The 17,835-nt window shown below is 33.6% G+C and overlaps 2 long non-coding RNA genes and 1 pseudogene across 6 annotated transcripts in view; 2 read left to right on the top strand and 1 right to left on the bottom strand.

Moving 5' to 3' along the window:
* The window catches only part of LOC124902439 (uncharacterized), an 820,351-nt gene that overhangs the window by 66,431 nt on the left and 736,085 nt on the right, over positions 1-17,835 (bottom strand). The gene's annotated exons all lie outside the window — the stretch shown is intronic.
* LOC105378335 (uncharacterized) overlaps positions 1-17,835 on the top strand; it is a 37,450-nt gene that overhangs the window by 351 nt on the left and 19,264 nt on the right. Inside the window, exons 2-3 of one of the 2 annotated variants that reach the window (XR_946018.3) lie at positions 9,147-9,266; positions 12,713-12,964. This is a non-coding gene — a long non-coding RNA (uncharacterized LOC105378335). Of the gene's footprint in view, positions 1-9,146; positions 9,267-12,712; positions 12,965-17,835 lie in introns of those variants that run through there. The other variant, XR_946019.3, reaches the window with a different exon arrangement.
* On the top strand, positions 5,587-6,129 carry RPL17P35 (ribosomal protein L17 pseudogene 35; annotated as a pseudogene).

Here is a 17,835-nt window from a genome sequence, read left to right as displayed (position 1 = left end):
TGTTGCAACACCAACCTTAAAATCTCATACTAGACAGACTTTTGATTTTCTATACTTTTCTGGGTAGCCACAATTGTTCCTTGACGCTGCAATGCTTAATTTTTATTCCAAACAACTTATTTCTCAAATAGCTGCAGGAGAAAAAAAAATTATATATATATATATGGCATGTGATAAGATTAATCGCCATTACAATTAATTTTTTCATTTTATTAATATAAATTAGTGCCAGATCAAAACAATACCATTCAATTTCATACAATTAATAGTCTTCAGATAAGAGAGATTTAAAAAAAGCATTTAAATTACTTTAAATGTAAAATGTCTTCCAGCGGCAACACTTTTTTTATATCTTTAACATTGTATAGCATTCTTCTGAATGTACGGTTAAAAGCTAGATACTCAATGTAAATAATCAGAGACATGAAAACGAGTATCTTGCTGTGGTTTAAATTGCTATCATTTTGATTACTGGTGATGAAGAAGATATTTTCATATGTTTTATAATTTGCATTTCCTTCTCTTCAAATGTATATTCATATGCTTTGCTCAATTTTTCTGTTTGGATGCTTTTCATTTTGCTGATTTATGAGACTATTTCTATGAAAGATAGCCTATACAGGAAAGGATGAAAATAAAAACAAAAATAATTAGTAATTTTACAACCCAATGACTAACATCTTGGTAGTTTCCTTGAGATATGCACTTTTATAATTCTAGGGTTATTTTTAACCCAATATATTATAAGAATGTTTTATACTATTAATTTTTCAAATAATAACTTTATCTTGCATACATAATAATAAATATAGTTCTCACTATAACAGGCACTGTTCTAAAAATATGTTATAAAAATTGTCAACTCATTGATTACTATGTTTTATTTATGTTTTACTTTTTCCTTCAAGTTTTTCTGAGTATATTTTTTGTTTTAAATGTCACATAGTCAATTATATGTATATATTTTTTGTAGTTTCATCTTTTGGACTCTTGCTTGGGGTGCATTATCACTCCATGTTTATACAAAAGTTCAAAGTTCATTTACATTTACTTTTTAAATGGGAAATAATCCTTAATTTTTCAGTGATATTTCTTGAGGGAGGAGTGAATGAATCTATGAGAATCAGTGGGAGTTACTGATCAGAAAAATGAGCATACTACATGAACACAGAAGTTAGCATACAATTTCAAAAGATTTGTAAACCTTCCAAAGTCCACTCATAAACAACCTACAGATCCTTGAAACCTAGGATAAAAAAGCATGTTACAGATTTTTTTAAAGCAACGTAATCAAGATTGAAATAGTTACTAATCCAGGGGTTTATAGGCTCTCCTTAATATTTTTGTTGTGTCTTGTTTTCATTATTTACAATATATGAAAAAGGATGTGCAGTGTTTTATATATGGTGTATGATACTGTGAAGAGAGAACCAAATACAGTGGAATGGGTAGAAGCTAGAAGCCTGAGTCTTATCCTAACTCTATCACTAGCTCAATGAACTCAGAAAAGTCCTTTAATTTCCCTTAGTATCCAAATCCGAATCTGTAAAATTTTTATGTATGTGGGTATATATTACATGTGTGCTATAAATGTGAGTGCATCTGGTTGAAAGGTTGAAGAGAAGAATGAACAATTCCTAAGTTCTTTTAAATTTCTTATATAAAAACCAAAGTTATGCAATGTTATAAAACCTTATTTTCATTATTGTTTTATTAAGATTAATTGTTCGTACAATCCAAAGCATAAAATTCTATGAGCTTTGATTAAAGTATACAGATATGTACCAGTGAAATCAATACCATAGTTAAGTTGAAAATATTTCCATCACGCAGAAAGCTCTTTCCTGACCTGTTTCAGTCACAGGCAACCATTGATCAGATTTTTATCAGAAATCAGTTTTACCTGTTTCAAACTTTATGTAAATTTAGTCAAAGAGTATGTAGTCTGTAGCTTGTCTTTGTTTCTCTCACATATATTACATAATGTTTTTGAAATTGATGCAAGTTGCGTGAATCAGTAGTTCCTTTTTTACTTTTAATTGGCGTGCAATATTTCATTGTATAAATATACCACAGTGTTTTTTAAATTCATTTTCTTACTGATAGACATCTGGGTTGTTTCTAGTTTGGAACCATGATGAATAAAACTGCTAAACCATATACAAGTCTATCTGTGGACATAAGTTTTTATTGCTTTTGGGTAGATACCTAAGTGTGAAATTACTGAGTCACAGAATAGATTCATATTTAACTCTATGAGAATCTGCCAAATCATTTTTCAAAGTGGTTGTATAACTTTCCACTCTCATCAACTATGTGCTAGATAGAGGTCCAGTTACTTCTTGTTCTTGCCAACGTTTGATATTCTAAGCTCTTGGAATTTTAGCCATCACCATGAAGTAATAACTTAGAATAATACCAGGTACATAAAACAATTGGTCTACCAATTCATTAAATATATATATAATACATACTCAAGTTATTTAGTTCTTATTTAATTTCTCTTAAAAATCATTTGGCATTATGAATGTATCTTTGTTAATTCTTTATTATTATTGATAATATTTATTTTGTGTTTTTTAAATATTTTCAGAGACAGTATTAAACTTTTATTTGCTAGAATAAAATATTGTGTTATGTACCTGGTATTCTATGATCTTGCTAATTCCACTTATTGGTTTTAGAATCTCCTATAAATTTCTTAGGATTTTTTTATATATATAATCACATAATTGCAAATATTTACATTTTCTTTTTTATGTGATTCTTTTCTTTTTCTTTTATTTTTATTCTGGCTTATTACTAGGAACTCCAGAACATTATTAAATATAAGTGATGAGAACAAACTTTTTTTAATCTTGGTTCCGATATTGGAGGAAAAGTATTTACTGTTTCAGTGCTGAATATGATGAAATTTTTGCATAAGTCCTCTATCAGGAATAGAGGAAATTCCCTTTCATTTTTATATTGCTGAAATGTATATCATTAATTGATATGTTATACTGACTTTAATGCCTCTATTGGGATATTTAAAATGTTTTCCCTTTAGTCTGTGAATATATTTAATTACACTGAATGTTTTCTAGTGATTAACTTTGAATTGCTGACATAGATCCTACTTGAACATGGTATATTTTCTGTTCACTGTGGGAATTAATTTGTTATATTTTTGTTGAGTATTTTTGCCTTTATGTGCCTCTATTTTATTTTTGTAATGTTTTTGTCAAATTTTTTTATATCAGGGTTATGACATCAGTGTCATGATATGAAGGTTATGGTAGTTTTATAAAATATGTTGGGAAATAATTCCCTTCTCCTTTGTGTTTTGAAAGAGTTATGTAACTTTGGTACTATTTCATCATTAAACGCTTAATAGGAATTTATGATTTAAACCATCTGGGGAAATTTTTAAATTATTAATTCATTAAAGGACTACTTTGACTTTGTTTCTTCTTCTTACAGTATTAAATAGTGGTTTTTAAAGGAACTTTTTTCAATTTCACCTAACTTGTCAAATATATTGGCATAAGAAGTTCATCATATAATATTTTACATAGAATATGTATTGGCATATCATTGTTTAATGTTTATAGTATATATCTATGATAATTTGTCACATTCTACTCAATCTTTTACTTCTTTATGTAGAACATAAAAAATTTACAACAGTAAAATTCTATTTTCCCACTCTCAGATGCCTGTATGTTTTTAAAAATGTTTCATATCTGCATATGTTATAAACTTAACACTGGAATGTTATTTTTTATTCAAATAGTAGTTTGCCTTTTAAAGAAATTTAAAAAGGCCAGGCGCGGTGGCTCACGCCTGTAATCCCAGCACTTTGGGAGGCCGAGGTGGGCAGATCACAAGGTCGAGATTTCGAGACCAGCCTGGCCAATATGGTGAAACCCCATCTCTACTAAAAATACAAAAATTAGCCAGGCATGGAGATGGGTGCCTGTAGTCCCAGCTATTCAGGAGGCTGAGGCAAGAGAATTGCTTGAACCTGGGAGGTGGAGGTTGCAGTGAGCCCAGATTGCGCCACTGCACTCCATCCTGGGCGACAGAGCGAGACTCCATCTCAAAAAATAAAAATAAAAAGAAAAAGAAAATTTAAAAAAATTAAAGGAAGAAACAAATGGTCTTACATATTTATCATAAGTATCAATTCTGGTGATCTTCATTTCTTCCTACAGATCTCATACAATTTTTTTTTTTTTTTAGTCCCTGAATATTCCTTTAGCTATTTTTTTTTTTTTTTTTTTTTTTTTTTTGCAGTGCAGGTCCCACACACAAATTTCTCAGCTTTCATTTATCTGTATGTTGTCTTGCCTTATTTTTTTTTTGAAATATATTTTTACTGGATTTACAAACCTGAATTGACAGTGTTTTGTTTTTCTTTTACCACTTTTAGAGGTGTTCTTTCATTGTCTTTTGCCTTCCATTGTTTCTGATTTTTTAATCAGTTTTTGATAGTGTGTTTGGTTACATTTGATATATGTTTTTCCTAAACATATAAATTAGATTGGCAGTTGAATTAGTGTTTCGCTGGTGCCGTAATGAATTAACATAAACTTAGTGGCTTCAGGCAAAGCAAATTTATTATCTTAGAAGTTTACAGCTCAGAAGTCTGACACAGGCTACACTGGATAAAAATAAAGGTTAGCCAGGCTGTACTCCCTTCTAGAGACACTAAATATAACCTGTTTTCTTGTCATCCTCTTTTCTAAAGCACACCTGCATTCCTTGACTCATGGTGCCATTCCCTCACCTTCAAAGCCAGAAATAACAGATGAAGTCCTTTTTAAGTCATGTCATTCTGACCTTCCTTTCTGCCTTCTTCTTTCACATTCTTTGTTTCGTTTTTTGGATTTTGTTTTGTTTTGTTTTTGTTTTTTGGTCCATGGGATAATCCAAAATAATCTTCCTATGTTAAGGTAAGCTGATGAGCAACCTTAATTTCATCAGCTACCTCTATTTCCTTTGTCATGTAAGCTACCATATTCAAAAAGTATGAGAATAAGGACATAAACATCTTTGGAGGCCATTATTCTGCCTACCACAAGACATAATTTACCGAAATGTACTGGTGTCCAATTTTACTAATTCAAATGAAGAATATTATAGAAACCATCTTTGTTTATGTCCCTTTACCCTCTCCCATTTATAATATGATTATTAAACATTTCTTCTACATACATTAAAAACACATTAGGCATCAGACAGTATTATAATATTACTTAAACCATCAAACAGCACTTAGAAAATTTAAGAGGAAAAGAAAGTTTAATTTACTAACCATAGTTTTTCTTCTTCCATGTTCTTTCTTCTTTTCTGATATCCCCATAATTTCTTCTACTGTCATTTCCTTTCTATTTAGAAGATTTCTATTAGTGTTCTTTTGGGGTAGGTAGCTGGTAACAAATTCTCTTAGTTTTCCTTCATCTGTGAATGTCTTTACTTTCCTTATATTACTGCAGAATAATGTCACTGGATGTAAAATTCCGGGTTGACGGTTGTTTTTAATTTCAGCACTTGAAAAACAATGTTCTCTTCCAATAAACAATCTGAGATGACCTCTGAAAAATGGTTTGTTATTCATTTGTCCTGAAAATTTTACAAAATTCCACAAATCTAGAAGTTCAAATCTTCACATTCACTTTAAGAATAACTAAAACTGTCCAGACCATCAAGAGTACGCATATTCAAAATATCATTGTGAATCTGAAAGACGTCCCTTTACAGAAGAAATGCATATTATTTTATCATTACAGCAGTGGAGTTGTTGGGCTTACCCAAGTCAAACAATACAGTTGGACACAAGGTCGATGGCTTAAAAAGAGTGCTGAATTGTTGCTACACATGCTTAAAAATGCACAAATTAATAGTGAATTTAAGGGTTAGCTGAATTTAGACATAGATTATCTAGTCAAAGATATCCAGCTGAACAAAGCACTCAAGATACCACCATACTTACTGACTTTACAGTTCAATTAACTCATACATTAGCTAACTTTGCTACATTGAGATGATTTTTACTAAAAAGAATAAATTGTTTCCAAACCAGTAAAGCAGGTTGTACAGAAGAGAAAGACATCCCAGAAGAAACTGAAGAAACATAAATTTAGGGTCTAGAAATAAATTCTGCATAAATTAAGTGAAAATAAAAATAAATCTAAACAAAACAACAAAATGTCATATTACTTTCCGGGCTTTACAGTTTCTTATGAGAAATCCACTGTTACTTAAAAATTTTCCCTATAAGTATGGTGATCTTTTGCTTTTGCTGCTTTTAAGATTTTTTTCTCACATTAGTTTTCAAAAGATTCACTACGCCGTGTCTTGGTGTGGATTTCTTTGGGTTTATGCTGATTAGTCTATGATTAGCTTTTTGAATCCATAGGTTTATGATTTTTGCCAAATTTGGGAGATGTTCATATTTATATTTTTAACCTCATCCCTTTTCTCCTCTCCTTTTGGACTCAATATTATGAATTTAATGTGTTTTTTTTTTAGTTCCACATGTTCCTGAGATTCTGCTCATTTATATTTTTAGTCCATTTTCTCCTTATTGCTCAGATTAGATAATGATAATTTACATTATTCTAACTTTTGATTCTTCTGTCTTCATTTTATGTTGATCTGTCCCATTGACTTTTTTTTTTATTTTAGTTATTGTATAATTTAGTTCGAAAATTTCCATTTGGCTCTTATTTATATATTCTATTTCTTTGCTGAGGTTTTCTATTTCTTTTCTGAGACTGTCTATTTTTTCATGCTTCAAACATGCTCTTAATTGCTTATTGAAGCATTTTTATTATGGTTGCTTTAAAATCTTTGCTAAATAATTCTAACACCTGTATCTTCTCTGTGTTAGCATCTGTGGTAGGCTATATAATGGATCCAAAAGATAACTACATCCTAACGATGGGACCTACAAATAACACCTTATATGACACACACACACACACACATACACACACACAAGTCTTTCCACATGTAATTAGGTCAAGGATTTTGAAATAAGGGGATTATCCTGGATTATCCAGGTAAACCCAAATATAATCACAAATATCCTTGTAAAAGAGAGGCAAAAGGACACTTGACTATGCAAGAGAAGCAGGCAATATAACCACAGAAGCAGAGATTCCCATGTTGTTACTGCCAAGTAGAGATGAAAGTCCGAGTTCAGCAGCTGGCCTCCATTAACAGTTAGGCAGAGAAGGGCTCCTACTGCTGGTTAAAGGTGAGGGTTCAGGCTATCCATTAGGGCTTCATTCAGTTTCTCCCTAGCTAGGAGGAGGGTTGCTTCATTACTGTTCCCCCACGTGACCTCCACTGATATTATGGGGGTGGTGGCATTATCACCACTGAATGGTGGTGAACAATCTGACTCCACTAGGCATCCCATCTGACACCTCCCTGGCAGGGAGAGAGAAGAACACATCATTGCTGGAAGTATGGGCATAGAATTTCTGGCTCTGCATGTGGTCTCTACAGACACCACAGTGAGGGAGGGGAGGCTCCCTACAATCTAGTGGGGGTTTATGAGCCAGCTTCCAGTTGGATTTTTCTGACATCTTTCAGCACAGTGGTTTGGCTGCTTTGTGACAGTCTGGCAAGGGTAGCTACATGGGCTCTACTTGGCCTTTGCTATTGATGGTGGTGTGTTGCAGCAGCTTTTTCTGTGGTATGTGATTGTAGTAGAATGGTTTTAGTCTAAAAAGTTTCTGTCTTGCTGATTGCTACTTTCATGGTCCCTTGGCTAGAAAGAGGAGTCTTTGTCATTTTATGTTTTTATTCACATTTGCTGACATTTCCAGTTTTTGTCTCTAGTATCCAGGCTGGGCTATGTTAGCTGGCAAGAAGAAAACCCAGGGAACTCCACTATGTTATTCCTTTGGTCCTGAGGCCCCTAGCTAGCCTGCTCTTTTCTCTCCATCTTTCAAAATCTTGTATTTGTTTAATATATATACATATGTACAATTGTGTGTATATATGTATATACACACATATACAATTATTGTATATAAAATATAAAATAATTTGTTATACTTAGTGGGGGGAATAGGAAAAAGTAAATCTACACTACCTTCTTAGAAGCAGAGGTACCCCTGTATGTTTTTAAAACCATACAACCTCTATAAATAAATGATATTCATTCTATTAATGCACATCCTTTGATAGATACTGTCAACTTTTAACTTCTCCCTACTGAGAGAATTGCTCACTGACATAACCTACTATCTTGATGACCATGCTTGCTACTGTCTTACCCCTTTTATTTCCACCTCCACCTCTACCAGTAACCAATACAAGTGATGGTCAATGGATGAAGGTCAGCAAATCCATAGACCTTCAGGAAGCTTAGCTAAGGCTGGAAGTGAGAAAGTTAGGAGAAACAAGTAAGGAGAAAAGTGAAGAAAATGGAAAAAAAGAGAGCCAATAGTAATAGAATGGAGAAAAAAGGGCCAGTCATGGTGGCTTACGCCTGTACTCGCAGCACTTTGGGAGGGTGAGGCAGATGGATCATCTGAGGTCAGGAGTTCAAGACCAGCCTGGCTAACATGGTGAAACCCCATCTCTACTAAAAATACAAAAAATTAGCTGGGATTGGTGGCATGTGCTTGTAATCCCAGCTACAAAGGAGGCTGAGGCAGGAGAATTGCTTGAACCCAGGAGGCAGAGGTTGCAGTGAGCCAAGATCGCACCACTGCACTCCAGCCTGGGTGACAGAGTGACACTCCGTCTCAAATAAACAAATAAATAAATAAATATAAAAAGAAAGAAAAAAAGGGATAAACTGTAGTAAAAGCCTTGACCGGGTAAAATTCATGTCCAGTACTAAAGAGAAATCAAGTAACAGATGTAATAAAAGCAAACACTGTGTGGTGCCTATTTTTTCAAAAACTGTTCTTGGTACTTTAAATATATCAAAATTCATATAACCCATAAAGTAACCAAATTAGTTAAGTTCTGTTATTAGACTGATTTACAGCTAAAGAAACTGGGACACAGATTGCTCAAGATCACTTACACGAGGGTTTTTATCTTAAGCCTCACATATAGTTGGATGCTATGATATTGACAATATCTCTCTGTTTTTGAGCTTAAAAATATCATTTTCATTTAATTTCATCTAACAGCTTCAGAGCCCATGCAGTCTCTTAAAAGCAGAGATAAGAAGCCAGTCATTAGACAGCAGAAACTGGAAAAGAAGAAGAAACATAAGGGAGAGGTGATCGGGCTGTATAAATTCCATTCCGGTGAGTCTTATCTCTCTGCAGTTAACATTCAAAGGTTATTCCTATGAATTCTTTTTGTATTCTTATGACAAAAATCACTTTGCTAGCTAGTTTGGTTGAGTCTCTTTTCCTTTACAACTCCCACAAATAGATTCTAAACTACAAAAAGGGAGGGGAAAAAAAACACTTTTAGTACTAAAATCTAGACAAAGAAAATCTGAAAAGGAAGCCTGCTGAAAATTCTTCTTGGAACAGGTCAGACTATTTAGATTCTAAAATTTGGTATGCTCAAATGAATTCCTCATCATTTGTAGTGACGGAAGACATGAAAACAGTTAATGGTCCTTTGCACTTATATTCCTTTCTTCACTGAAACCAGCAGCAAAGATGGTGGTTGACTCGGAAGATTGTGCCAAACCTGCCAAATAAACCACGTATGGCCTTTAATTTAAAAGAATCTAAAGAAGCAAGTGCATGTAATCAAGTATTCGGAATTCTCTCCTCCCCACCATCCAAAAACATACCTGGTCATTTTTCTCATTATTTGGCAAATACTCAACTGCATTTCAAGGTATAAATTAACAATAATCATTTTTTTCCACAGCACTTGTCAGGATAATATATAGTCACCCAATGTAAGAGAAGGTGTTCAGAATTAATAATTGGCAAGCTTAGTTTCTAGCTTGAATGGTATTTTCTGCAAAAACTAGCAAAAACGTTTTTAAAAGTAAGGCTACGTTGCTGAATTTCCACACCTTTGCTCTTAAAATTTTTAGAGATAATCAAACCCAGGTGAGTGATTTTCACTAAAATGAAACCAAGACTGTTTTTTTTTTGTTTTACATTTACAATAAGAAATTACTTCCTCAAGTCCAAGAATATTCTAAGTGTGCATGATCAGTGTCTTCTCTACATTTAGGCAAATTTACTTGGGCAGATAGATCCAATCAGTAGGTTTCTAGTGGAGCATGAAATAAGGAGAGTAAGATGAATAGAATATATATTGACATTATGCTAAAATCACCTCACCATTCCTCTCACAATCTAGATAGTCTATCACTCATAATGAAACTTCATTTGCTGAAATCCTAATGAATCTACTTCCTCACTAAATTCAACCTTGTCACCAAAAAAAAGAGAAAACAGTCCAAAAATTAGGACCCCTGAACACAGATACTGTCATTATGTCTAGTCTTTTTCTAAGTTCCCATTGCTGACAAACCCTTAATAACCACTTCTAATTGATGCATGTTTTATGTAGATATTATAGCTCAATTGAAACAATTTACAGTCAAGTTCCACCTGCCAAGATGCTTCTATATCTTTTGGGATACATTGCATGTACGTGTTTTGATGCATTAATTGTTATTATTCCAGTGATGGACCAAGAACAGTGGGCATTGGGAGAGTCCCACCCTGCAGGGAGGATTATTTTATCCCTGACACGGTATAGAAATGTGGGTCTTATGATAATAAAAAGTGGAACGCAATTTAGCTGATTTTTAAAATATGAATTCTTTCCAGACAATGCAGCACACCCTTATTGCTTCACTCTGGGATGGCTGCTTCTGTGACTCTGAGCTTACTGCTCAATTAGTGGTTTCTTCTATTATGGCTATTATTTTAATTTAACTTTCTTTTCTGTATGATAACTCTCTATTCATATATAACTCTATCAGCCAGAAATCTGTCAGGAAAGGAGAAGCCACTTTACTCATTTGGTCTGTAAATGGTTTAATGCAGCCACTGTATTAAACTGTATCTGATCCACACAGCCTCCTGAGAATGATGGCTCCACTCTTTCTCCCTCAACTCTCATACAAGTTCCTCTTATTGACAAATGCTAATTCCCTCATAGAAAAAGGGATTCTGGGAACCATGGTTCTCAGCCTTAGATTATTATGGTGAGGTGATGCTGAGTCGACAGCAAGGTGCAGCACAACAATTTAAAATATATTATATACAAGCTATCTTCATATCTGTTTTCAGTTGTACTTCCTTAAGGTCTTGGGTAAAAAAAAATCTTAGGGAGCATGGGTAAGGGAAAGTTACAGTGTTAGATTAAACTCTACTTGGGGCCGGCTGTGGTGGCTCATGCCTATAATCCCAGTGCACTGGGAGGCCAAGGCGGGAGGATTGCTTGAGGCCAGGAGTTTGAGACCAGCCTGAGTAACATAGCCAAGACCCCATCTCTACAGAACTGAAAATTAAAAAAAAATTAGCCAGGGAGGTTTGCTTGAGCAAACCTATGTAACTATGTAAATTCATAGTTACAATGAACTATGATCATGCCACTGTACTCTAGCCTGGGAGACAGAACCAGTCCCTTTCTCTAGGGAAAAAAAAAAATCTACTTATCTGTCTATTTCTAGTTTCAAGGGCTTTACTGTTGAATTCATAGTTAAAAAGTCATGCACTTTCATAAAGTTTCATCTGTAATAATAAAGCTGATTTCCTTTTCCTCTTTCTCCTCTTTTTGCTGCTTCTTATTCTTATCTGTCTCCTACCCTCAGCCCATCCTCATCTAGCCTTTGTCCACCTTACATATTCAATATTCACAATTTCGTACTCTTTCATTTATATGTTACTTTGTATTCTTATAAAGAAATGAAGAAGGTTAATAGGTTTCATTGTAATATACCATATCTCTATATATTAAGGTGAATTTAAACATAAAAGTTATATAGTTTCAATTGTTTTACAAAAATATTATTTTATACTGTAGCTCTCTGCATCTTGTTTTCTCCTGTAACTCTGTCTCCAAGCCATCTATTATTGATTTATTTCATTCATTATAATGACTTAAATATACCATGATATAAATAAACTACAAAATATTTAAGCATATTCTTATTACAAAATAATCATTTTACCTACTTTTTTGCTACTACAGTCAAAGACATCAACATCCAATTGCATATGTTGATATATGTCAGTTCTTTTACTTCTAGAAATAGATTTGCAGGGATGGCATTATTAGAAGATAGGCACATAAAATGATAAAGGAAGTCATTAGGTGACTTTTTATATGCTGTAAAACTCATTTTTCTACTATGTTTGAGAACACTCCGTTTTCCACATCCTTGCCAGTCAACGTTATCTACTTTATTTTTCCTTCTACCAATGAAATATGTGTAGTGTATATGTCAAAATGTTATAATACTTTAATAATCCTTTTCCTAATTACTAGGAAGGACAGGTCTTAATCATGTATTTATTGGTAATGTGAACACTTAACCTTGTAATAGTTCTCTTTTCAAAATATTTGCTTGTTTTCTATTCAGCTGTTTATATTTAGTACAATTGAAATTTGAATATACAGTGTTTGAACTACGGTTGGAATTACGTCCCCCCAAAATTTATATGTTGAAGTTCTAACTCCTGCGCTCTCTGGATGTGATCCTATTTGGAAACAGGATTGTTGCAGATGTAATTAGTTAAGTTCAAAAGGGGTCATATTTTCGTAGGGTGGATCCTACAAAAGAATGGCCTGTGAAGAGACAGACAAGTGCACAAGAGAGAATGCACGTGAACATGAAGAGGTGGGGGTGATGCATCCACAAGCCAAAGCGTGCTACAGATAGCCCAAAAATATCAGAAGCTAGGAGAGAGGCCTGGAACTGGTTTTTCCTCTCAGCCCTCAGAAAGAACCAACCAACATCCTGATCTCAGACCTCTAGGCACAAGAACTGTGGAACAATAAATTTCTGTTTAAGCCACCCGGTTTGTGAAACTTTTTTATGGCAGCCATCACAAATTAATACATGTAGTTACATGAAAATTTTATTTTCTTTTAGATGGAGTTGTGACAGCTACATTTATTAAATTACGTTGCCTCCACTGAAATGAAATATTACTTTTCTCATACACTAAATTTGTTATTGATGTATATATATATTCTCAAATATAAATATATAAAATTCTACATTCTCAAATCTACCAGAATCTGTTTTCTCTATTCCATGTTACTGACTTATTTGTATATATTCTTTTTTTTTTTTTTTTTTGAAACAGTGTCTCACTCTGTCGCCCAGGCTGGAGTGCAGTGGCGCCATCTCAGCTCACTGCAACCTCCACACCCCAGGTTCAAATGATTCTCGTGCCTCAGCCTCCCGAGTAACTGGGATGATAAGCACCTGCCACCACGCCCAGCTAATTTTTGTATTTTTAGTAGAGATGGGGTTTCACCATCTTGGCCAGGCTGGTCTTGAACTCCTGACCTCGTGATCCACTCTCCTCAGCCTCCCAAAGTTCTGGGATTACAGGTGTGAGCTACTGCGCCTGGCCATATTTGTATATAGTCTAATACTCATCAGTGAGATACTTTTTCTAATAGCAGAAACTTTACCATTATTTTTAAGATTCACATACTTTTTCTATGTACGGCTATTAATTGATTTTTATATAATCATGAGTCATTTAAAACTAATTCTCAACAACTAAGAAAAAAACTTCTGTTGGAATTGTACTTGGCATTACATTAAGTTTATATATCAACATTTAGAGAATAATTAAATTTGTTAAGATATTCTTTCAATTCATGAACATGATTTGCCATCATTTGTTCAAATATTTTTATATGCTTTTTTAAGGCAGTAAAATTGGTAAAGGTCATGGTTTTTAAACTAATTCATTTCTAATTTTATTCTATTTACAGAGACAGTATTTGTATTATCAATGTTTATATTACTTCTCATCTTTGGATGTGAATTCACTGAAATCTCTTTGCAACCTCAGTGTCTTTATGGTCAATTGTCATGTCTTCTGTTCTTCAGTTTTATATTTATATATGATAGAGATATACATGTATAGTATTTATAAACATAGATATATATGTACAGACATGTGTATGTATTTAAGACTCATACTTCAATCATATTCAATTTGAATTGTTTTGTCCATATGATACTCATGGACATAGAGTAGCATCACATTACTAATATTGTTCTGGCTATGTTTCTTTACTACCCACTGTCTTATGTGTATATCAGCGGTGTTCTCGTGACTTTCTGCTTGAAGTTTTTCCGCCTTTATGAGACAGTTGATGACACTAGAAAAGCCCTCAGGCCAATACCAGATATAAGTTGGAGAAAATGTTTCCTGGGTGTCCTGCCCCTGCTGTGGTCTAACTCTGAGCTCTGTTCTATATTGTCTTCCAGAATTCCTAGCAAGGATAGGTTTCCGTGGCCTGCAGCAAAAATCACTGATTAGACATCCTTTCCTGGCTTCCTTAACTTTTCCTGTATCACCTTTCTCCTACTGTACACATGCTTTGTCGGATTATCTCCCAATTGACTTCATATCATTGTCTCAGAATGCATTTCTTGGTTAACCCAGTCTGAAACAGTTTCTATTTTTCCTTACATCCCTTGCAGTTTTTACTTTATAAAAATGTTCACTATGTTAAATCTTTAAACTGACTGTAAGTCTTTAGCAAAGAAAAGTACTATGTGTTGCTTCCCTTACTGCTTTTTTTTTAAAAGAAAAATTAACTCCCACTTTGTCAGTCATCTGGATTCTAGATTGCAAACCTTGCTTTCTTCTCAATTGCTCCTACTCAGTAGAATCATATTCACTTTCTTGTTTTTAACTTTTCTGAGTCACTTTATGTTTCACAGTCCTATTATATGTCATACTACTATATTTTGTTCTGTTAGCCAATCTGAAAATTATTTTCTTTGTTTTGATAAATTAAGCCATGTGTGTTTTTGACATGACTGATGAGTTTGGCCTCAGTTATATCTAATGATAGTTTCATGTTTTACCCTTTCACAATATCATCTGTTTTAGTTTGTCTTTTCCATTTATGGCTTATCTTGTAGTTAAGACAATTTTTTTCTCTCTTTCTCCCACTTTAATAATTTTACTAAATCTGCATAGTGTATAACCATCACAACTCTACCATCCCTCTCATGCTTATTCTTTAGTACTAGTTCTATAGTCATATATGTATTCAGGGCTCACCACTCATACTATGCCAATGTCTTTCCAGTGACTTTGGTTATCTAAAATATATTATCTGGTAGGTTGCACGGGAACAATATGTCCTGAGTTCTTGCATGTTCGTGTTAGCCCACAGCTTTGATACTGAAAATCATTTTTGCCTGAATAGAAAACATTTGGCTCACATTTTCCTTCCTTGAGTATCCTACATATATTAGTCCTTTGTCTTACAGCATAAAACATCCTTGTCAAAGAGTTTGACATCAATATGTTTTTCTCTCCCGTGGAAGTGACCTGATATTTTTTCTGTTTTTTTTTCTTCTGCATAGTGAAAATACTTTTAAAAAAATTTCATTTCAAGACCAAAAGATTCACTAGAATAAGTCCCAATGTTGGCCATCGCAGGACAGTTTTGCCAGGAAGAATATGTAGTTTCAAGTCTTTATTTCAGGAAATTTTCCTAGAAATAATACATAGGTCCAAATCTTGATTTATTCCTGGAAATATTCCTAGGAAAAATAGATTAAATTTTGAAGACAACACCAGTAGGAGAGAAGACAAACTGATTCCTTGTTCAAGAAAATCTCAGGCACAGAAGCTCAAAATATCTTTTTAATTTCCTATGCAAGCCATTTTCTCCACAGTTTTAACTTTTATCTGCCACTGAAACACTTCTTAAACTTCAATTCAGCTGTCAAAAATCAAATGGAATTTCACAAGATCATGTTTAGTTTCTTACTTGTTGTATTTCTTTCATTTGAATTTGATATCATTGCATTTAGGTTGCTTTACTATAGTGTCATTATCATGATGCCCATGAAGTGATTGTTGTGAAACATAGATGCTCTGCTCCATTAATCAAATTCTAGCTCACTGTGTGGCTCATCCCACTATTATGGTTGGCAGAACCTAAACATGCTGCAACTTCCTCTCCTTACCCCATCTCTATCTTCATATGTCTTAAAAAGTATTATTCCCATACTGATTTAATGCTTCTATTTATACTATTGTAATATATCAAAGATTTCCAAGTGTCAGTACTCATATAATTAAACTGTGGTAAACTCTCTAGCCAAAAAATATCAGATTGTTATTTATAAAATTAATTTCTTTTTATCCTATAATACAATCTGATACATTACACAAAACAGTACTATATAATATTGCACTTGAGAAAGTTTTTCTACTCTGGACTTCAGTTTTATCATACATAAAATGAGGACTTTTTACTAGATCCCAAAAGTTTTGAGTATTTCCTCCTGTCACCCATTATAGAGTGGCAGGTAGAGTGAATGAAGTCCCAGGAACTCCCAATGCTTGCCTTCTCTAGCCAGAATAACTCTGAAGTTCTCTCTTTTATACACTGGAGTTCCAGGAAAAAAATGAGTTTTGAAAAATTTTCAAGGCTAAAAAAGAAGTGCTAAAATAACTGCATTGGATGATTATAAAGGTGATTCCTAGACTTTAAATGAAAACAAAGAAAGAGGAAGGAAGGAAGACGGAAGGAAGGAAGGAAAGAAGGAAGGAAGGAATGAAGGAAGGAAGGAAAGAAGGAAGGAAGGCAGGAAGGGAGGGAGGGAGGGAGGGAAAATTCTTATGCTTCCTTGATTTTCTAACTTAATCCTCGAAGATAATAATTATTTTCTTTCCTAAGGATTATACATGATATCATTAAGCCGGATAAAAAGAAGTTGCAAATGGTGTAGTGTATAGACTGTGACTGCTGTCACATGTTATTTAGAGAGAAAATATAAGGACCTAATAATCAGTTGTTTTGCATCAGTGTAGTCGCATACCTTTTTATGCTGGATCTCTTTTGTTTAGGTGGGTACCCATGATTTGTAAAATATTTTGCATATCTTTCTTAAAACTCAGACATGCCTAGCAAGAAAGCACTGTAGACATGTAATTGTGAGGGAGAAATAATCTGAGCACATCTTTGTTTACATTTCATCATTTTTGATAGTATATGCTTGTATTCAGAAAATTATTTTGCTAAGTTTCAACATGTAACCTTTATTCATAAGATTGGCTCACCTCTTGCATAAAGATTAAAAATATAGAAAAGATGAACATAAACTCTTAAGAGCAGACAACTCCTGTTTTAATATTGGTTATCATAGGTATGATGTTGTGAGAAACTAAATAAAAATCTATATGTTTTCACCTATTTTTATCTATCGGCTATATTTTGGTATGTTTTTTAATCTCAAAAATATAGCCTATTAAGCTATCACTTGTCAGAGGACACACACCTCAATACTCTGTAGTTCCAAGTTAGAGTCTTGGATAGCAAAATTAAGACGTTTGCTTGATTTTGCCTCACATGAGTTACTGTTCCTTCTAGAGAAACACAAAAAGGGATACAAATAGATAGCTTCTCCCTCTTGTGCTGTCTTTCTTAATAGGTACTGCACTTGACCCAGGAGTGGACTTTAAAAATTAATTCTAGGCCTGAACTGCTAACTTTAGCCTTTCAAGTGTAACTATTTTAGAGTCCAGTTTTTCAGAGTTGAACTCTGGTGTCCATTTTAACAAGGCTATTTTGACCCAGGGGATCTTTTTCTATGGGGCTTGGAATCTGCAAGAAATGTGGCTAAGACATAGAATGAAAATTAGCAAATGTGTTGTACATATTACTTGATAA

Source organism: Homo sapiens, chromosome 10 (genome assembly GCF_000001405.40).
Source record: "Homo sapiens chromosome 10, GRCh38.p14 Primary Assembly".
Taxonomy (NCBI): Eukaryota; Metazoa; Chordata; class Mammalia; order Primates; family Hominidae; genus Homo; species Homo sapiens.
Note: the sequence above shows the minus strand (reverse complement) of the source record. Positions and strands in the feature narration are given on the sequence as shown.